General features: G+C 34.3%; 1 protein-coding gene and 1 long non-coding RNA gene across 11 annotated transcripts in view; one reads left to right on the forward strand and one right to left on the reverse strand.

Moving 5' to 3' along the window:
• CCSER1 (coiled-coil serine rich protein 1) overlaps nucleotides 1-23,090 on the forward strand; it is a 1,477,902-nt gene that overhangs the window by 1,170,559 nt on the left and 284,253 nt on the right. Inside the window, exon 12 of one of the 9 annotated variants that reach the window (XM_011531943.3) lies at nucleotides 10,157-10,289. The exons of the other annotated variants lie outside the window; for them this stretch is intronic. Within the exon in view, the coding sequence (XP_011530245.1) occupies nucleotides 10,157-10,189 (33 nt within the window). The 3' untranslated portion in view covers nucleotides 10,190-10,289. Of the gene's footprint in view, nucleotides 1-10,156; nucleotides 10,290-23,090 lie in introns of those variants that run through there. 9 annotated transcript variants of the gene reach the window in all.
• LOC124900733 (uncharacterized) overlaps nucleotides 1-23,090 on the reverse strand; it is a 56,617-nt gene that overhangs the window by 29,368 nt on the left and 4,159 nt on the right. The window contains exons 2-3 of one of the 2 annotated variants that reach the window (XR_007058191.1): nucleotides 5,531-21,774; nucleotides 2,060-2,148 (exon numbers count right to left, since the gene is read on the reverse strand). This is a non-coding gene — a long non-coding RNA (uncharacterized LOC124900733). Of the gene's footprint in view, nucleotides 1-1,956; nucleotides 2,149-5,530; nucleotides 21,775-23,090 lie in introns of those variants that run through there. The other variant, XR_007058190.1, reaches the window with a different exon arrangement.

Genomic DNA, 23,090 nt, shown 5'->3' on the forward strand with positions numbered 1-23,090 from the left:
TAAAAATTTGTTCACTTAATTAGGAAACTCAAGGAATTCACAAAGCATAATAATAGGTAGTGTTAAGAAGGAAAAAATCCTACATGGAGAAGCATAAGTAGGGAACTGATGAATTTGATGTTGAATGAAAATGGCTGGGATGACAAATAATAAAGAGTTTTACTATTAACTGTGATTATGAGATACAGTAAAGGGGCTATCAAGTAGAAATAAGTATTAGAAAAGTGGATCAGTCAGATTTCCGTGCAAGTATTAGATACTACTTAAATTGGAAATTACAAAATTGTTGGAAGTGCTGCTGAATTGGAAATCAGGACACCTGTCATTGTTCATTCTTGCCACCACAGGCAAGATGCAGTTGCTGGAAGCTGCAGAAAACCACTGTGAACATCACAGCTGCCCAGAGCTCAAATGACCACATAGCAGAATATGATGCCGTATGTGGGAGCCTATGTGTCAGCCACCATTCCTGCTAAAGGAGGCCTGCCCTTGGCCTTTTGCCTTCCTTTTACCTTCAAAATTTTATTTCATCCTTGGCAGAGTCTAAAACACATGCTGTACTCTGATGGCAAGGGAAAATGGTGAATGTGGTTTCCAGGATTCAGGCCAATTCAAAAAAGCACTTAGAACATACAAGAGCGTGGGAATGGAGACTAACTAAGAAGGGCAAAATATTTATGAAAGTAAGAGTAAAAATATCATAGGAAAAAAACCTTCTTTACAGTTTTAAGTTAAACTTTGGCAAGTTCTTTTGTTGAGCATGGAGGCATCCTGGCCTGTAAGACTACAATATGTAGTCCTAATATACAGAACCAAATAAACAGAGAGATCACAGACAAACTTAATGCTCTCACATATTACCAGCTTTTACAAAATCCTCCACAAGTGCTGGGTAATAGCTGACTACATAGTTCCCAAAACCCAAAAGGGGGAAAATCAACCATATGTTTTAGCACAGTGGTTCTCTAAGTGTGGTGTCTAGACGAGCAGCAGCACCAGCAGCAGCAGCATCTGTGAACTGGTGAGAAAGGCAAATACTTTGGACCTCTACCCAGACCTACTAAATAAAAAATGTTGTGGGTGGGGTTCTGCATTCTATGTTTAACAGGCTATGTTAAACATTCTATGTTTATACATGCTAGAGTTTGTGAACCACTGCTTTAAATAAAAGAACAGTGGTTATAGGCATATATTAAAATATTAAATATTATGGTAAAATTTAAGCTCCATAATGCCCTTTTAAGAGTGAGGCAGACACAAATTTGATGAGATTACACTGAATTAAAGCATACTTGTTTTTCTTAATATGCTACATTTGTGAGGTACAAATGGTATATCTGTGGATTTTTAAGTTAAACTGTCTTTTAAAAAAATGCAAACATTATCTCACTTGAGAAATTATTGTTTGACTTCATTTACTAAAGGCCCAACTATACCTTTTTGGTAGTCAAAATAATAATAGCCGACATTCATCTAGTACTTGCAATATGTCAAGGACTTATCTGTGCATCATACTTACACTAATTTATTTAGTACTTACCTATGGGATAGTTGTCAGTATTATTATCATCCCCTTTTTTTGCAGATGAAAAAGTAGAGGTAGTGACAACTGAGATTTCAAAGCTAACTAGTTTGATTCCAGTCTTTTATTTGGTACCAGCCATACAGCGTAAATAAGAAAATAGTACTACAAGGATATTTCCATACTCTATGCATCTTTCTAACAAATAAAAACTGATTTTTTATATGCATGTGCAAAATTGACAAATGGTACCTTTCTGTAAAAGTCACAATAAAAAATTTTAGCAGGGACTTTTTCTACCTGAAAGTTTTTTTTTTTTTTAAATACATATATTAGTCCTCATAATGTTGTTAAATGCTGTTACTAAGTTAAAATTGGCTTTAAAATCATACTGCCATAAATAATTTTTGCTTTAAATGAACGACTTGCTACTCTGATATCTAATTTCTAGTGGAAGACACCGTGCGAGAAGTAAAAGAGAAACACACACAAAAAAACAAAACATTGCCAAGTTAGCAGCTCGGAATTATGTTTTACCTTAGTGTGGCTTCCACCTCTTTTGAAGTAATGGGCCATTTTGTTGCCTTGACTTTGGAGTACTTTTCAGACTCAGGAAGTCAATAATCCTTTTGGAAGAGAGAATTAATGAGTCTTTCAGTGTAACCAATTTCAGGGATATCAGGGAGGCCTGTTATAAAATTATTACAAGCAATATTTATATGATCACATATATGAACTATAATTATTTGCAATTTTATGTTTCTGTTATCTGCTGTGGGAACAGCTTTTTGATAATGGGAATTTTATAAAAATGGTTTATTAAAATGTCTAGTTTTGGTATCTACTCATTATTTTAGATGAATTACAACTCTGAATAAGACTCGAAGGCACCATTTCTTAGTGCCAAGGAAATAAAAGTAATGTGTGTTCATGGCAGTGAAAATGAAGCCACTATCAGTACTGTTAGGGAAATATATAAAAGAGTTAATTGCTTTCAGAGGCTGAGACATATGCCTCAGGTAGATACTAATTTAATGTTCTTCCTTAAAATATAGTCAATTATTCAAACACAACAACTAAATTACTCCAATATTTTAAAAATGATTTCCACCAGTCCATATTTGGAGGGATACTATTTAAAAATACATTTTATTTCATATATCACCAAGAAAGGTGATATTTTTAGGATACTTCTGAAAGATTTTAACTAAGTACTGCTGGCAACTGAAAAAAAATGGGAGAAGTTATAATTGGTGTTAAGAAGTAAAGTTGATTATTATGAGAAATGTTTATCGCCAAAGAGAATTTTCAAAATTATATAACATGAATGATATATGATATATTTGATAACTAGGTTAGCATTAAGCCTCTTTGATTCAAACTGTGTTCCAACCAGTGTTTCAGATACATTCCAGAAGTTTACTTTTACCTTTGATTGTAAAGGTAGTTTTTAAAGGGTGAGTCATTAGGGAGGTTTTTAAAAATATACAGTTGCTACTCACTTTATCCTAAAAGGAAAGGAAGATTAAATTTAGCTGAGAGGAAATACTTTTACATTATATTCTCAGTAATACTAGGGCAAGATGGCTTTGCGTGGCATTTGTACATTATGCATACATAATATGCACAATTTACAGATGGGTATTGATAAATATACTATTACTGGATAATGAAATGAAAAGTAAAAGTTATGCAGAGTATGGGAGAAGGTCATAATTGTCTGATTACCACACAGTTGCATGGGTTCTTTATAGATATTCTCCTTTTATATAAACAGTATGTGTATTTTAATTAATACATTGTCTACTGAAATAATAGAAAATCTACCTTTACTTCTGAATTTATAATCATAACTCAGCTTTAAAACAATTGCAATATTAAAAAGGAGAATTAATACATGGATTATCTACTATAACATGACTGTCATATATTCCAAGTGGAAAAAAATGTGTTCACCTAATAAGCATTTTGATGCTGAGTTTATACAAAGTAAATTGTTTCTCATTATAGGTGTGTTTAGGTGGAGTCATTATTTGCCTCTCTGTCTATGTATATATAAAATATAGTATATATATATATATATGTACAAAATAGAACAGAGGGATATATTAAGTAAGAACTTTGTGCTCCCTTGTGGTTTAACAACTGATATGTTTTTCTCTATGCAAACCTATGTCCTTTAATGGCAGTTATCTTCACTTTTCGGGTTGCTACTTTTTAGAGAAAGTCACATTCACCAATGGATAAGAATCATTTTAAAACAAAGCACCAAGGTTTAGATCGTAGCACATCCACCACCACAACAAAAAGAAATAGAAAGTAAATTAAGCCACCAACAATGATGAGGCAAACAGGGCTCTGTGAATGGTGAAAATCAATGAGGTCAAAATGGACCACTTTCTTCTCATTGATTTTTCTCTTTTGCTTGTTTCTTGGAGCTGGATTCAATTACTCAGTTACTCTATGTCCTTCCTTCCTTTCTTCTTTCCTTCTTTCCTTCCTTCCTTCCTTCGTTTATTTCCTTTTTCCCTTGTTTATTTCTTTCTTAAATGGTGCTCTGACACATATTGCTTAATAATAACTCAGTTCCAACAAAGGACAATAATGTCCCTGTGAAAATCAAATTTGAATCACCAGTACTGACCTCTTCCCAAACTCTAGGCATATATTGAACTGCCACACTGATATCTTCATTTGCATTTAGATGCAATCATCTAAAATGCATGGTGGTCAAAATAAAATCCTCACTTCTGACCTTTGAATATATTCCTCTGCATGGTTTGCCTTGGTAAATAGCTACCTGTTTTCACGCCAAGAGATCTAGGAAAACTCTCTGGTTCCTCTTTTTCTCTTCACTGCAACGTTGTTTTAAGCAGCAAATCTTGTTAGCTCTACTTTCAAAAGACATTCTCAGTCCTTCCACTTCTGTTTATTTCTACTGCATCTACTTTCATCCAAGGCAAAACCATTTTTTTTCTATAATCACTTCTTGACTGATCATCTATTTTTGACTCTTGGTTTCCTCCAGATCAAATCTTCACAGGACAGGGGCATTATATTTTTAAAACATAAATCAGATCAGATAAGCCTTCTACATAAACTCTCTCTATTTGAAATTCTCCTATGGCTTATTTATTGTGATATAAATCCAAACTTCTCACCATGGCTTAAAAGGCCTTATTATTCTAGTGTGGCCTTTATTACTTCTCTGACTTCCAGCCACTTTCCCTTTTCTCTGCCATCACATCCTTCCACACTAGACTGATTCCTAAACTTTCTTATCCCTTAAAACTTTATATCTGCTATTCTCTATGCCTGTAATTTTTTTCCCCTAGATCTTTTTTTTTTTTGTCATTTGTAAATCGGTGCAAATTTTATAGTTTATTTTTTCACAGCATTTATCAATATCTGAAATTATGTTATTAAATTATCTAATTTTTGACGTTTTGCCCTAACTAGGGTATAAACTCAATGACAACAAGGACTTTTTCTGGTTTACTCATCACCGTATATTCAATGCCACAAGAGTGTCTAGCACTTAGCAATCACTCAGTAATGACCACTTGAATAAATAGCCATAAATTTATCAATAAAAAAGTTTGAAGTAAGTACTGTCAGTCATGCCAGATGTTGTGGGAGGACATAAAATGATCCCAGTAGTCTAGTTCATGTTAAGAATGATGCCCAGTCACCTGATGCATGACAAGATACAAGTGATTTATTAGGGACTTTCAAAATGCCTACCTGAAAGCAGTCTTATGAAGTTAAATTGATAAGTTCAGTCATTGCTATTGCCTCAGGGATACATGATGGTGGGTGTTAAGCCAATCTTATATTAAAGAATTTTCTAAAAAATCCATGTCACAGCCACAAAGAGCCTAAGGAAACCTGACAAGTAAATGTAATGTAGTATTTTGGATGGAATACTGGAACATAGGCAAAAAGTAAGGAAATCTAAATAAATTATGAACTTTAGTTACTAGTAATGAATCAATGTTGGTTCCTTACTTCTAAAAATTGTACCATATAGGCCAGGCACAGTTGTTCACACTTGTAATCCCAGCACTTTGGGAGGCTGAAGTGGGAGGATCACTTGAGTCCAGGAGTTCAAGACCGGCCTTGGCAACATAGCAAGACCCCATCTCTACAAAAAGAATAATAATAATAATAATTAGCTAGGTGCAGTGGTGCATGCCTGTAATCCAGGTTACTGGAGATGCTGAGGTGGGAGGATCACCTGAGTCTGGGAGGTCAAGGTTGCAGTGAGCTGTGATCCTGCCACTGCGCTCCAACCTGGACAATGGACTGAGATCCTGTCTCCAAAAACAAACAAACAACAACAACAAAACAACAAAACTAAAACTAACTACCCAGGATAAAATAAAAATTGTATCATGTAAATATAAACAGTTAATAAGGGAAACTGTGGAGCAGGGTGGGAGGATATATAGAGTCTAATACAGATCTGAAAATATAGTCTGTTAATTAAATAATATATATTATTCACACATTTGTTGAGAAAAGCCTTAAGGGAAAGAAAAAATGTTCCCTTATAAATATTGTGGTAGCACCCTTCCTGAGTCAATTGCATTCTATATTAAACCATCTTTTGCTATTTTAACTGAAGGAAAAATTTACTAGTGATCTTGCCGACTAAATTGCATATTTCAAAATCCTTAATGTTCTAAAAAACTTTTATTGATGGCAACTCTCTGGAAATAGTGAATTAAAATGAAATTCAAAATTTTATTGAAAGCTAGTTGATTAAATAGAACTGTTTAAAAGATAACAAAACCACAAAAAAATCTATAATTTTAGTATTATGTTTATTTACATTTAAAGGAAAGGTTTAATTTGGTAAATATTAGGTTTAATAAGAATGCAAGGCAATTGCCTTAAATTTTCCTTTCTATTGAGTTATTTTTTGATACATTAGTTAACTTTGTCAGGCTAATTTAAATTATCTGCCATAATATGCATGTCTATAGTCTGTGAGGTTTATCCCTTGACTCATCATTTTATACACTGAGATCATCAAAAATATCTTACCTTAGCGACCCAATATTAGTTCCAGGACTTAGTAATCTACTTTAATTTGCACATTTTCACACATCACATACGTTCCTCTTTTATAATGGAGGGCAGCCAGAATTTAATTAGATCGCAGAGTTCACACCACAGGATATACTGTCCTTTAATTAGTAGCATATATTGTTTCAGATGCTTACTTGGACACACTGTTAACACTATGAATGAATCACAATACAATCCCCGAATGTTAATGGAAACATATGTATTTATTATTTTATTGTTTTCATTTATAAAACTACGTATGCCTTCTAAGTGATTAGGGAGATATTAAAAGAATGTTACTTAAATTAAATATCTTCTAGAACTAATACTAAAGTAGAAAATTCAATTATATGGTGAATCATATGTTTTTCTTATTTCCGTAGAAAGCAGGGCAAAATTTTCTCACCCTCTTCCTTTTAAACTAGATTATTTTTCTTTGTCACAGCCAGGCATCATGCTTGATTTACCTTTAATGCTATATAAAACATCTGAAACCTCAAACACATAGGAATAATTTGAATCTTTTCATTCTCCCTAAGAAAAAATTAACAGACAGCTCATATGATTTCTATCTCAGTGTATGTCTTATTTTTCATGATCAAATTACTTCTTTTCAAGTTATTAGATTGTTTATAGAATCATTCAAAAGTTTGTTTTTACTTGTAAAAAAGGCTATCACAATTTAACATTTCATTCATTTTATAAAATGCAAAAAAAAGAATTTTACAATTGAAGCCCCTGAACATTCCTGTAACCAAAATAAAATGACTATAACAGTAAATGGGATCCATTTGGTATGCAAAATATTTGTAGAAAAGTTCAAAAGCCATTATTTGCAATTGTAAGGTGCAGAAATTTTTTTTATAAAATATGTATCTTTGCATGTCTCAACTTGGAATTAATTGTAAAGCATGAAAACACAAATAACTTGAGACAACATTACATAGGAAAGGCTATAAAATGTAATCAATATTTTGGACATTGTGTAAAATACTTCCCACACTGTAATTAATGATTGATTCATACATTTCATTTATTTTTGGTCTTCTGCTCATAAATTATTTGAAAGTAGACCAATTGAATTATTTTCTGTTTTTGTCAGTGTGTATGTATGTGTGTGTGTGTGTGTGCATGTGTGTATTAGTCTGTTCTCATGCTGCTAATAAATACCTACCCAAGAGTGGGTAATTTATAAAGAAAAAGAGGTTCAATGGACTCATAGTTCCACATGACTGGGGAGGCCTCACAATCATGGCAGAAGGCGAAGGAGGAGCAAGGCGCCTCTTACACGGCAGCAGGCAGAAGAGCGTGTTCAGGGGAACTGCCATTTATAAAACCGTCAGATCTTGTGAGACCCCCCCTCACTATCACGAGAACAGCATGGGAGAACATGCCCCCATGATTCAGTTATCTCCCACCAGGTCCCTCTCATAACACATGGGAATTATGGGAGCTACAATTCAAGATGAGATTTGTTTGGGTGGGGACACAACCAAACCATATCAGTGTGTTTGTGTGTGTGTGTGTGTGTGTGTGTGTGTGTGTGTGTATACGAAAAAAATCCATAACAGAAATTTTTTTCATGAACATCATTGCCAACCTTTCATATATGATTACTTTTTCTTTTCTTTGTTTCATAGAGAAGTCAAATTTAAGAGTTATCAGCTACATTAATACTTCCTTCCAGAGTAGTAGGAAAAGGTGAAGGCATGAGAAGAAAAAATCCTCATATGTTTATTTGTTTCAAATGCTTGGATCATATTTGAAGACTTAAATTGCTTTAGCTTTTTGTTTTGGTTTGCTTTGGCTTTCTCTAAAACAGATTCTTCTTCTGAAAAAAATATAAAGAATTAGTACATTCTGCTTGTTTTTAAGCATTTGCTTTTTGAAAGCATAAGAAAGTAAATAGCAAATGTTTTCCTCAGTGATTCTTTTTAAACCTCTATACTTGTCAGCTTCCCTTTTACTAGCATATACCAATAGTAAAAGTGTCATCTGTAAGCAGAAGCTCCTCATCTTAATACCTAAACACGTTAATTCTTTATTCATGAGTATATTCTTTAAGGAAGTCTGAAACTTGGTTCATTCAAAGCTGGAAAGAAAAAAATCAAGATGATTGTCTAATTCTAAAATATTTGTCAACATTTTACTATATTTCAATGTTTTAGAAATATTTTAATGTTCCACTGTTCTCACAATGAAGTGTAAGCATGCCATTTTCCAAGTAACAGAGATACAAATTGACCACAGCTATTAATTTAGGTTAACTGTTAAATCAACTTTTACAAAACTTTTAGTTAGGCAAGTCATTTTATTCCTTTTGTTTTTTTTCTGCTGCACTCTGAGGAAGGTGTCTGACTTTTTATTAAAGGCACATAATGACTGAGATGCTGGTGTCATCTAAAGAACATTCAGATAATTTGTAATAGTAATTAGAAGAGACTACAATTATTCTTGGTTGAAATACTTTAGGGCTAAAGATTTTTCTTTAGGGTATGATGTTTTATAAGATATCAAAATTTCATTCTTAAGTATCACAACAATCTATGATTTTTCAAATGAACATGATTTTAGGTACCCAATGATTTTTGAAAGAGTTGTGGTTATATCCATTATGTATTAACTCTTAATAAAATATTTCTGTGTTTTCATAGAATATATCCCCATATAACCTCTCTGTGTAGTAATTTTTCATGAAGAAAAGTTATGAAACAATAAAAAAAAGGATTCTGAACAGATCTAATATATAACTGTCTTTGTAATCCTCTCTAGTCTTATCTTGCTATTTCCTTTCAAGAACTTTTTCTATGATGCTTTTTTTTCTTTAGTCCCTAGAGAATTATTTTCTAACTCATTATTTGAGTTTTTTAGCCCAATATCATTATACTATTAAATTTTAAGCAAATTGTTACAGCTGTAAGCAAATTTTTACAACTGTAAGCAAATTGTAAGCAAGTTTATTTTCCCTGCAACTTGGTATACTTATACCATGGCTGACGTTTTTTCAGATGAAACATTTTGCCAAGCAGGTTATATGTTGTGGTAAAAGAATGGCACAACTTACAATGAGTAAGAAGAAAGTGAAACAATCTTGTGTCTACTGGAACCTGAAAGACCTTTTCCTTGAGAGAATAGAAAAGAACAGTTCCTTGCTGAAGGGAAACAAAGAAAACAGTATAACTGCTTAAATAGAAACCATAAGAAGTTCTTTTGGTACAATATCATTTGAATTGTAATTGTTGCTGACTTTAGTATTGTTCTGAACTTTAAATTCATCAAGAGTGCTATTAAAAATATTGGTCATTTATACCCGTTTTAATGGGTCCATGAAGCAATGATATGCTATAATGCTTTCTGTCTTTAAATGGCCCATTAGAGTACACTGTAATCTTATGTTTTCCTCATGATCTGAGAGCTACGAAATGCTTTAGCCAAGGATATTTTATGCATCTGGGTGTTAAACACTCTACTTGTAGATATTAGTTCCCTTCACTGCTAAAATTTTGGAAAATAATCATCCCACCCCAAATCTAAGTTTATTTTATTCTTATTTCCAAAAAGGCATCTTCTTTGGATGGGTATGCACACATTTGAAAGTGTAGATGAACGCAAAGAGATTTTATACCACTGCACTGTTCATGTCCTGTATGGCTTGCTGTTTACTGAACTGTGGCCTCTTCATTTATATTTTGGTGAGTGTTTCATCTCATAATGATTGATAAAATATTTACAAGTGACAGGGCTGACTCTTCCCTGAAGGCACAAAGAAAAAGAGTATTATGCTAGACATTAAAATGTTTAGGTACCTGGATGTACTTTGAAGGAAATGTTCCATAAGTGGAAGCGTTTGGTGTTATAATGGACCTCATAAACAAATCACTAGGTAGGAGAGATTTACAAACATTTTTAAGGACATTGTCAGCAAGCGGTGTTGTCTGGGCCTACTAGGAACTCAGGACACAGAAAGTAGAAGAATCTTTGCTAAAGAACAATGCCTGTTATGCCACATATTTTCATAGAGGCTATCCTTTAACAACTTATTTGCTCAGTGCATTCTCAGTTCTGAAAAATGTATCCTTGCTGTTGCACTAGCATGCACATATTTGGAAGTGTACATAAACAAAAAGTTTGGGAATTACTGGCCCAGGACATTCAAATCATCATTAGCCTATTTTTTCAAAGAATGTTAATCAACCATTTAGTGGAATGTAGTCAACAGTAATGTATTGCCAAGTTAATGACACCAAAAATATAAGGGAAATATTTGGGAGCCCTAGATTTTTTTTAACACAGGAGCAACCAAATAAATGTATAAAACATAATTTGTAATTTTCTATGACTAGAAATGAATTAAGTTTACTTCTTAATAAAATGGAAAACAATTGAAATTATTTGAATATGGTCAAAAAGTGGTTACTTTTTAGGCTACTGGCCTAAACCCTATGGGAAAGTGAGCTGCCTACCTTTTTTAAGGACACTTTTTGTAGTTGTTCTCATTTTCATGCTGAGTTCTTTCCCTTGCATATTATTCTAAAGTATTTTCTCCTCCTCTTTTTTAAAAATAGCAACATATTTTCAAATACAAAAAGTGAGTATTTTAAATCTTGTCCGTCCTTTTTAGATGATTACTCTATTCTAATTTTACAACCACCTGTCCAGACATTGGAGCACATGCAGATACCTCATTGGCTTACTATTCTTTTCCTTCTAATGGCAAGGCTGATATTTGTTAATACAGCTATTTAAAATAAAACCACCAACAACAAATTCTTCAAGGAGGCCACTGATGATTCTGTAAAAATGTATGTGTGTGTGTGTTTGTGTGCATGTGCACGCACGTGCTCACATGAATGAGCTCAAGTGGGTTCCTAGACAGATTTCATTAAATAGAAAGAAAGAGAGAAACATACAATCCGTTTGCTAGTATACTGATGTTTGCAGAAAACCCTTATCAAAATTTAATGACCCTAAAGGTGGTTATCGATTTTCCTTTTTCTTCAGACAATATTTCATTTGTGATATTGACTTGCCACAAATGAATGTTTGCTTAAGACAGTGTTACATGTTATAGAGCAATACTACATAAAAGGCTTGCAGCTCTTGTACTCTACAAGGAACAACCAAGGCACTCGTAGATAGCAATGGAATGTAAAACCAAAGCCAACCTGTCTTTTTCATTCTTTTCATGTATATATAGGAATATATAAGAATTTAATTTTTTCCTTAGGTTTATGAGGAATATCTTGCCAATGTGAATCTGGATTTGGAAGAATGATACGTTAGTGTATTAGTTTCCCAGGCCTGCCATAACAGAGGGCCACAAACTGGGTGGCTTAACCAACAGCAATTTATTGTCTCAGATTTCTGAAGGCTAGAGGTCCAAGATCAAGGTATTGGCAGGGCCTTCCTGCCTCTGAAGGCTCTAGGGAATGATATATTCCAGGCCTCTCTCTTAACATCTCATAGTTACTTTGGCATGTGGCAGCAATTCCAATCCTCACAATCTCCTTATGTGGTTGTCTCTCTCCAAATTTACCTTTTTAATAAAAACACTAGTCATATTAGAGCCCACCTGCTAAAGCTTAGAGTGGAAGCTTAGCTAGTTTTAGACACTCTTATGCCACATCCCGTGTTCTGCATTCCATGATTGTGGCTTGAGTCCTTTTAATTGCAACATTGGCCTGATTGGCTGCCATTTTATTATCGTGCCTTGACCATTGTTATTCCCTGCCCTGCTGTGCTTTCTTGCATAATGACAATGTCTTCCCTGGGCCAGATTGGAAGAAGAATTGTCTTGGGCCAAACATAAAATACACGAACACTAACAATAGCTGATGAGCTAAAACCAATGCAAAAAAAAAAAAAAATCTCATAATGTTTTAAGAAAGTTTACGAATTTTTGTTGGGCCACATTCAAAATTGTCTTTGTCAAGAAGAAGACAAGGATATCTTCTCCTTGATGAACATGGTCTTCCCGATGAGCATGACCATTCCAGATTCTCTCATTTCTAGCTCTGGTCTATCTCACTTCCCTCTGAATTCCAAGCTCTAATTCTGGTATTAGAATTAACACTCCTTTTTTGTTCTCTACCAAAATGGAGATAAATTCGCTAAGGGTACATGTTCTTTTGACTTAATGGAGCCATGAACCCTTTTTTCCATCAGAAGGCTGACAGGAGGTAATAGTATTGCCTTGAAATAAAAGTCTAATCTGATCTTGTCAAATCTGTGGCCCAGGACAGCTTTGAATGTGGCCCAATACAAATTCATAAACTTTCTTAAAACATTCTGAGACTTTTTTTGTGATTTTTTTTTAGCTCATCAGGTATTGTTAGTGTTAGTGTATTTTATGTGTGGTCCATGACAATTCTTCCAATGTGGCCTAGGGAAACCAAAAGATTGGATTCCCCTGGTCTAATCCATTATCATCTAGAAGAAATAACTTTTAAAATAGACCTGCTTATGTATAACTATTTCTGATTGATTAAACTATTTACTGTAACTATTACTTTCTTTAATAATACTACTGCTTTCATTTAACTATTACATGATTCTTTTGAAATGATGTATTTACAGAAGAAGATAGGGTTCATCTGACATATGTTAAAATCTTGTCTTAAGCATGTGGCAATATGTATCCCTGGCTAAAAATTCTTTAACCATTAGCTTTCAGGACTTTTAAGTACCTGCTAAAAAGCTGTGCATATGTCTGCTTTATTTAATAAAGTGGTCTGCAAACTTAGGTATCAAACTTTAAGTTATCTGCATTTAGTTATTCCTACTGCTATTGGCAAGAGCTATCAAAATTACAATGTTTTTCTCCTGCCAGAAAAGTACTAGAGACTTTTTGTTTTTGTTGCTAAATGAAGACACTTTGACATAGATTTTTTTCCTAATAGTAGATGCTAATAGAGACAATATTTTTCACAACAGCAGTAACGACAACAAGTTTACTTATTTCATTATTTCATTGAACATGCCTATTATCTTTGTGCAAATGTTATTAGAATTCTGTGGTGGAAGTAAATGTAACCTTAATGTATTTACCTTTCAGTTCTTTCACCCTTAGTAGCTGTCTGTATTTCTAGTAATTTTTTTAAAAATATAATCTATAAATCATAAACTGACATTGAAACAGTGAGACTTGTCTATAGGTCTTAAAGCCAGTGCCACATGCTCATGTGATGAATTTAGCTTACATATTTGCAATACCATATAGGTAGAATTATTAGTTACTGTTTCATTACAATTAATCCAGGAATGCACATAGACATCTTTTCAATAAATTTTCCTTTTGACAATAATGCAGAGAACATGTTTATTTAATGAAAGCATGGGTTGTTACTCAAAACCACTATTCACTTTGTCTTCCATTGTTGACTGTTATAATTCTGGTTAGTAACTCCTGTCTAACAGGACTAATGATTTAGTTTTGTAGGAATGAAAGTGAGGAGGAAATTATTCTGATTTTTAAAATATAGAAAAGCTAAAAAACATCAAACATGTGAAAACTTCCAAGATGGAAGGAGCTCTGGCTTTAAGTAGTAGGTTCAGTTTATAACAAGTATACAAATTTATATTGTAGTGCATATTCTAGTTGCACAGTAAGTCATCTCTAAACATAATAATAGTAATATAGGGCTAATCATTTAGTATTACTAAAAGAATGACTAGATTACAAGAGTTATAATATATAAGATAATATGAATTTCCACAGGCAGCACTGTTTTATTCAGCAGGACTTATAGGTATAAAAGAATATCAAGGAGAAAGAGGCAGAGATTCCAATGTGGTGGTAAGAGTGATGAGACATGTATTAATTTTGCCTGGAATTAAGCTGAGTAAATAATTTAAGCTGTAGACATATACTGTATATCTGTGATAGGCTAGACATTGCACAGGTTGCTAGGGATATACTGGTGAACGAAAGTTAGCATCATCCCTGCTTTCATGAAACATACCAACCAGTGGAAAATAGTGTTTTTCAAATACCATAAAAATGAACTCCAGAGTACAAACTAAAAAAGTGCCCTCAAGAAAAAAAGGCATAAAGCACGCAATACAGACTGGTGGACTTTAAACTTGGATTCCATACTCACTAAAAGAGTTTGGAAAATTATGTACCTCTTCACCCATGTTTAACTTGTCATCTAAATTTTTCATTGTAAGTCGAAATTTCTTAATGGGTCCAATGTACATTATTCAGGTGATGGATGCTGTAAATTGCCTAGTCTTACCACTGTGCAATCTATGCATGTAAAAAAATTGCACTTGTACCCTATAAATGTATATACAATTTTTAGAAGGAGATAAATAACTAAATAAATTTTATAGAGTTGTAAAGGCTGCTGATTCTAGCATGTGGTAACTCCCGTCTAGTAAAAATGTTATAGCATTCTGAAAATCATAATTATTTGATACCCCTTTCCAAGATTAAAAAATAAGCCTGCTCTTTTTTAACATTTGAAAAATGTATACCTTTCCTTTTTACTCTTTGAGCTGATATTTGTTCCATGACATTCAAAGATTTTCATCCAAGTCTATACATAACACATTTTTATAATTATCATACCACAAATATGTATGAACATTTTAAAATCTGTCTTCTCACATTCATAAGACATTAAGTACTTAAACATATTTTCTATGCTAACTTATAAATTCAATTAATATTTTTATATAATTAGTTATAACATATTCTAATTATTTATTTTTTGGTCTTATTACTAGCTTTTTCTAAGATTTTTGATGTGTTAAATACTTTTGTCTTTTTGAAAGGCTTTTCACCCTTGGCTTCCTTGGCCCTTCTCTTTGTTTGCATTCTTTCTATCACTTCTTTCTAAAGATCTTATTTGGCTCCTGATCCACTACTAAATTTGATTTGGTTCCTACTTACAAAGCTGATACTCTCAAGATTTCAAAACTCTTTTGGAGTTGTCTGTTATAATCATGGCATTGACTAAGTCACATCTTTCTCGGTTGATGCCTGTTTAAAATGTAATGTTGAGCCATCAGCCCCTTGACTCTTGTCTGGCCTTTTGACTTGCTTAAACCATTAAAACGTGGCAGTTGTGGCATTGCACATGGTCCTGAGCCTTGGCCTGAAGAGACATAGTGGCTTCTGCTTTTGCTTCTTGGGATTCCACCTTGAGTCCGAGTTCACCATATGAGGAAGCTAGTCTGGAAGATGCAAGGCCACATGGAAAAGATGACCCAGTCCAAGCCCCCTGACCTATGATTGAGGCCATTTTATACTTCCCAGTTCTGCCAGGCTGGATAAAGCTACAGAGATGAGTCCAAGTAAACAAGGGAAATAACTTCCTAGACACTTCATAGAATTGGAAAATCTTTGCTGTGTTAAACTACTAAGTTTAAAGTGGTTGTGTAGTAACAGATGATTGATATATACTTACATTAGAAAACCTCCAGATCTCTATCTCTTTTTACCACGTTACTACTGAACAATTCCCTGATGTCCTAGAGATACTTCAATGTCAACATCTTCAAAACGGAATTCCTTATCGTTTAGCTTCTCTTTCCTATTCCATAAATCAATGCCTATTTCATCTGCAGTTTCTGCCATGTTTGAGAATGGCACATGTACATACCCAGTTATGAAAACAAGTGGTAAATAAGTTACCCAGGTTGTTTTATTCTCCCTTACTGTATCTTCTCGCCAAGTGTCTATAGTCAGTGACCATACCTCAGTAACATATTTGTAATCACTATTCTTGCCTCCATTTTTGCTTTGACTTGGTTGCTGCTTTCCCCATATCTTCCTCATACTTTGCACTGTTCTTCTGATGGCCTGTCTTCATGTATCTAGGGAACCTTATAATCCTTCTTTTCTATTCCTGCAAATTTAACTTTTCTAAAATGCAAACTATATGTCATAATTTTACTCAGTTGATTAGAAAACCAATTAAGTTTAACTTAATAACTCACCATTGTCTACAAAATTAAGTGTAACCTCTTCATCAAGACAAGGAAGACTCTCTCTGATGTATCCCAGACTAGCTCTCTGGCTTCCTCCCTCTACTGCTTATTATGTTGCAGCCGTGCTGAAATTACTAACATACTAACAAAAGCTTTCTCCTCTGTATATACTCAAGCTCCCCACTTTTCCAAGAGTGCTCCCTCCCTTCTTCACTGCCTTCTAAGATTCTCAAGATAATTGACATTTCTGGGTTGTTATCTTTTTTAAATCTCCATCATACCAAATATGGATATCCATTGTAGGAGCAATAGCTATGTCTGATTTTTTATTTATGTACATGCCTATTTCCCTCTATTGTAGTTAAGATTCCCTCAGAAGCAGGGCTCCCTAAAGGTAATGATTCAAATACAAGTAAGTAATTTTGTAGGTAAGCTAAGGATACTATTGTAGAGGAGTGGGAAAGTGAGAGAGTGAGAAAGTCAACAAAATGTGTAAAGCCAGATACTACTGTGGGCAACTAGAGTTTAGTCCTGCAGGAAAACTCTGAACAATAGTAGAATATAAGCCTCAGGATTCTCTCTACTAGGGGATGAGGAAACTGTAGTATTTATTTACCCACTTCAGCCAATAGATGAGGGCTACTTCTAGATAGAACCGTGTGTGCAAGTGTGTGTGTGTGTGTGTGTGTGTGTGTGTAAGTGTGTAATTATTCTTCTGGCCTCTCAGGAGGCAGACAAAGAGTAATCTTTTATGGCTTCTGAATTGGCCCTCAGGAAACGAGATGCAAATGGAAGCCAGCCCCATACATTCAAATGGTATGGTCACAGAGATAAGAGCATGGTATTAATAGAAAGCAGTACACCTCCTTGTAATATGTTATGAACTTCTTTCAGGCAGAGACAGTGCTGTATTTTTCATTATATTTCCACTGCCAAACCCAGCGCCTGGCCATACATTGGAACCATAAACACAGTTGTTGAATGAATAAGTTATAAAATGAAAAATCACTGATATCATAGTAGCTTAACACTAGCATTTACTGAGTATTTTCTATAGGCAAGGCACTGTTCTATGTTCTTTATTGGCATTAATTCATTGAACTGAAGTGGAGCAAGAATAAACGATTTATTTATGCTAGTGGAAATCTGAGAAAAAGACACATCAATGAGCCAATCCACTTGATCAGTAATAATTTGTAAAGCATAAGGATAAAAAATTCATCTAATACTCTACATTTCTAGGCAATTTCAATTATTTACAATGAATACTACAGCATAGCAGTTAAGACAGTAGGCTTCATACCAGACTGTCTTGGTTTAGTTGCTAGTTCCACAGCTTATAAGCCATGTGACCTTGGGCAAGTTATCTGAGTTCTCTGTGAAATTAGTATCATAATTGATATGGTTTGGCTGTGTCCCCACCCACATCTCATCTTGAATTGTACCTCCCATAATCACCACATGTCATGGGAAGGAGCTGGTGGGAGGTAATTTAATCATAAGGGTGGGTTTTTTCCCATGCTGTTCTCATGATAATGAATAAGTCTCATGAGATCTGATGGTTTTACATAGGGCAGTTTCACTGCCCATGCCTTCTTGCCTGCCGCCATGTAGGACGTAACTTTGTTCCTGCTTTGCTTTCTGCCATAATTGTGAGGCCTCCCCAGCCATATGGAAGTGTGAGTGCATTAAATATCTTTTTATTTATAAATTACTCAGTCTTGAGTATGCCTTTATTAGCAGCGTGAGAATGAAATAACACAGTAATAGTTTTTATATTTTAGGTTTATGAGGGTCATTTATATTAGTAAATTCAAAGAACATGGAACAATGCCTGGTACATCATGAGCACTCAATAAATATGATTACTATCAGTCTTTCTTAGAGGAGAATTAATTCATTTACAAAGACTCGAAGATTGTAGAACTGTATATCCAATAATAAGCAAGAACTGTGTTTGAAATGTGTGTTTCATTTGTAAAATTTCTCTGATAGAATTCATTCATTACTTATAATGGACTGCAATTGATTGTAAAGTAGGATATACAATGTTTATTCTATGACACTAAATACGTACGTCCTCTTGGACATCTTGAAATTATTCTTGACCCCTCCATTTCTCTAACACCCAACCTGTCAGGAAATCCCTTGGTTCTAATTCTATTGCTACTTGCTGGGAAAAAGCCACCACCATCTCTTCAATTAGTAAAATATTCTTCTACTCCTGTCTCCTATAGTCTGTCCTTAACACAGTGTGATCTTTTAAAGTGTAAGTCATATCATGGAAAACCTCTGCTCAAAGCATTTCAAAGACTTCCTATCTCCTTCAGTGTAAAATATTTTAAAAATTCAAGCTCATAGAAATAAAGAGTGGAATGGTGATTGCCAGAGGCTGGTGGCAGAAGATGGAGGTGAACGGGGATAAAAGGAGATGTCACTCAAAGGGTAACATGTTTCAGTTGGGCAAGAGGCATAAATTGTCATGCTATCTTACACAGCATGGTGACTACAGTTAATAATAATGTATTGTAAATTTCAAAATTGCTAAAAGAGTAGATTTTAAATGTTCCCAACACAGAGAAATGATAAATGTGTGGTGACATGTTAATTAGATTGATTTAATCATTCCACAATTTATACATATATCACATTACATTATACTCCATAAATACATATAATTATTATTTGACAAACAAAAATTAAATTAAAAAAAGATAAAGAATGTGTAACCCAACCAGGCTTATCCTCTGAAATCTCTTCCTACCAGTCTCTCAGCAATACATTAGCCAGACTGGCCTGTTTGCTATTATTCCAACACATCCCTATACTATAGGACCTTTGAATTTTTCCTCCAGATATCCCGAGGGCTAATTTTCTCACATCTTTGAGATCTTTATTCAAATGTCCCTTCTCAGTGAGGCAATTACCCTATTTAAAATTATAAGCTACACCCTCCCCATTCTCTTTCACCTTGCCCCACTCTTCATATATTATGGAAGGGTAGGGCTCTCTGTTTTCTTTACTGAAGTTTGTCAGCTTTGCCTGGAAAAGTACCTGAAACACATCTTCTAAGACTCAACAAACATTTAGGAAACAAAGTATATACGTGTGTGTGTGTGCGTGTGTGTGTGTGTGCGCATGTGGGTGTGGGTGCATGCATAATCTAAGGTCTTACTGAAGCTCATAACTGAAGTGAACTTTATAATGGAAAGAAACTTAGGAGAGACTTTTGAGAACATGTTGACCTTGGTACCTGGCAATCCTTTGAACTGCCCACTTGACACGATGCTTTCCCAGAATAGCACTGAAGAATAACAAGATTGAGAAGGTTTCAGTCAGGCAAGTGGAACAATTGGGGGCTTACTGAAAATTATAATATATACAAAGGTAGAGTGAAAGCTGCTAATGAAACCCTGGGTGAGAGCATCCAGTACACCCACTGTGCTTTGCTCCATTTGGATTGAAGAGGGATGTTTTGAACTTAATGAGATGGTCCTCATTTCATAGGAGAAGGGTTGTAGTGGTTTTGGAGAGGCAGATTTTTTTGTAGACAGAAAGTGAAACATACATTTGTCCTATTGGTGCCTTTAAAATACACTCTTGCTGGTCATTGTACATGGCCCATGCTCTGGGTGGGGAGGGATTTATGGAGTACTCTGTATGGATGTGAGGGGCACAACCTTAGCTGCAATATACTGAGTAAACAAAGAAAGGACTCCTGATACTTCAATAGGGAATTATTTTGCAATCAAACTGGCTGAGAAGTTTAGGCGGTCACTGATATTTATATTTTATATTCTAATTGCAGTATAAAGTAAATAATTTTTATAAGTCTGTAAAGTTTCATTATTTTCCAATCAGTTTTTCCATTAACAATTATTCAGAGCATCATCACAACATAACTTTTCCTATTACCTACCTACTGGGCCTGAATAAATAAGATATTGGAAAGAACTGAGTTTGAGTGAAATTCCTGGGTTTACATTATGATTCTGCCAGTTACCAACAGTACAACCTGGGAGAAAGAAAGTTTTTTATAGACTCAATTGTCTCCATGAGCAAAACAAGGATAATATTAACCAAATAAGATTATTGTAAGGATCAAATCAGGACTTATGTGAAAACTTCAATATCTTATGGCAGCTCAGTAGCTAATTTTCTTTCTTAAAATTGTAAATGCTACTTTAAAGAATAGAATAAGGGAGATTATCTTTATTCTTCTCTATGTCATAACTTTTTATATGTTGTTTCTGTCCAAATGTCCAAATACAGTGAATATTGAAGTTATTGGTTTTCTTACATCATTTACTAAGTTATTGAGACTTTACTATGTTTTAGGCTCTACTCTAGATTTGGAATACACAGCTGCCTTTTTAACGTTCTGATTGTGCATATTCCCTCATTAGTTTTTGGTTTTTTGTTTTTGTTTTTAAAAATTTCATGGAGAGGAAAAAAAATGAGGTTCTGTCACGCATGGTCTTGACCAGAGGGAGTATGCCACACAGGTAGAAGATGATTTTGAGATGTTTCCTGACAATCAGGAAGATAACTTTAGGTTCCTCCAGTGTCCATTTTTAATCTCCAGAACTTGGTAAGGAAATTAACAGATGGTAATTAAGACAGACGGTATCAGCTTCTGGATAATTTTTTCTAAAGGGAAAAAAATAAAATTAGATGATGCATAAGTTTACATGAAGAATGCTAAAAAGAATAGAGTATCACCTTCGAAGCAGAATAAGTTAAAAAGCAAAATAAGTTATTCTCAAAATGTATCATTATTCTCAAATAAGACGTGATTTGACCATGCCTCCCAGAGAATGAAGTGCCAATCTTCTAGTAGCAGGATGTACTATTGACTTCCCGGATTTGGTGATAACTTTATGAAAGGAAATCTTTGTTCACCAAGAGTCTATCACCAATCCACATGTGCTATTGTTTCCAAACAAAAGGCAATGTTCATTATGTGTGAAGGTCTAGCCAGCCCTATAGAGTTTGACAAAATGACTTTGGCATTCCCTCATGGAACTTTGTTATGGATAAGAAAATGGCTAAAATATATGAAAAATTGCTATCCTGTGAAAGAAGTAAAGAATAAGTGTCACAAAGAAGCAATAGTTGGTGCAGAATTGCAGTTTTTGACATATTAAAAATATTAACCTACCTAATACAAAACCCAGTCTGTGATTCTCCCTTCTCCACTTAGTCTTCTGATTTCCCTGTGTGTCCCTCAGGTTTCTATAGCACTGGGAGGCAGAAGCACCATTTGTTAATCACCTGTCAGCTGCTTCTCTTATGCTCTAAAGTCCCTCTCACAAGGCACAGCAGAATTGAACAGCCAGAAATACAGTAGTTCCCCCTCATCTGCATTTCACTATCCACCGTTTCACTTACTTGTGGTCACCCACAATCCAAAATATTAAATGGAAAATTCCAGAAACAAACCAATCCTGAGTTTTAAATTGCACTACATTCAGAGTAGCGCGATGAAATCCTGAGCTGTCCTGTTCCGTCTAGCCTGAGATGTGAATCATCCTTTTTGTCCAGGGTATTCATGCTGTCTGTGCTACCTGCCCTAGCCACTTAGCAGCTGTCTTGGTTATCAGATCAGCTGTCTCTGTATCACAGTGCTTGTATTCAGATCACTGTTATTTGACTTAATAATGGTCCCAAAGTGCAAGAGTAGTGATGCTGGCTTTGTAAAGTGCTTCAAATGAAAAGGTGAAGGTTCTTGGCTCATAAGGAGGAAAAAACATTCATATGTCAAGGTTGCTAAGATCTACTGTAAGAATGACTCTTCTATTTATGAGACCATGAAGAAGAAAAAATAAATTAGTGCCAGTTTTGCAGTCACATCTTAAACTGCCCCCCAGATAAAAGGCGACTACTGTATATGGCTGAGACCCACTGCTTTAATTAGGCATGATTGTGCATAATTATAGTAGACAAATACAGTGCAAATTAAAGAATTTTTCCTAATAAAAAGACTGCCTTTTGTTGTGTAGCTATTTATAGGAAACACCTCAGCAATTACCTTGCTGTTTTCATTATTCATGATAACATGTGCTGTTGGTTCTTAAACTTGAGTAAGAAGAGTGCTGTCATTTCCTTTCAAACAGTTTGTTGAGAAGACTGGTTTTTGTTTCTGGCTCACTAGAGTACAGTATTTAATATTTAAATGCACTGTAAATGGGTACTTTCTGTGCACCAGTTACAGGTGATGACTTATAAAATGGGAGGGATTTTCACATTTACAAATGAATCACCTGTTTTAATAAAACCAGGAAAGCACAGTTTCCCATTCTTATCTCTGGTTCATCTTTCTGCCGCAATTGATTTTTATTGCTTAGTAAATTTGCCCTCTTGAAAGATAATAGGTTCAGTCTATACTATAATCAAGGTCAATTTTCCATTTTTAGTAATAGGAAAGTGAATGATTGAATTGTTTAGTCATGATTTTTGGAATCTTGAAAGACAAAGAAAACCAAAAATTAATTCAGTTTGAAATTTTAAAACAGGCTTTGGAATCATGATTGTTTTACCTTGTCTTATATTTCAGAAT

Source organism: Homo sapiens, chromosome 4 (assembly GCF_000001405.40).
Source record: "Homo sapiens chromosome 4, GRCh38.p14 Primary Assembly".
In the NCBI taxonomy this organism is placed as follows: Eukaryota; Metazoa; Chordata; class Mammalia; order Primates; family Hominidae; genus Homo; species Homo sapiens.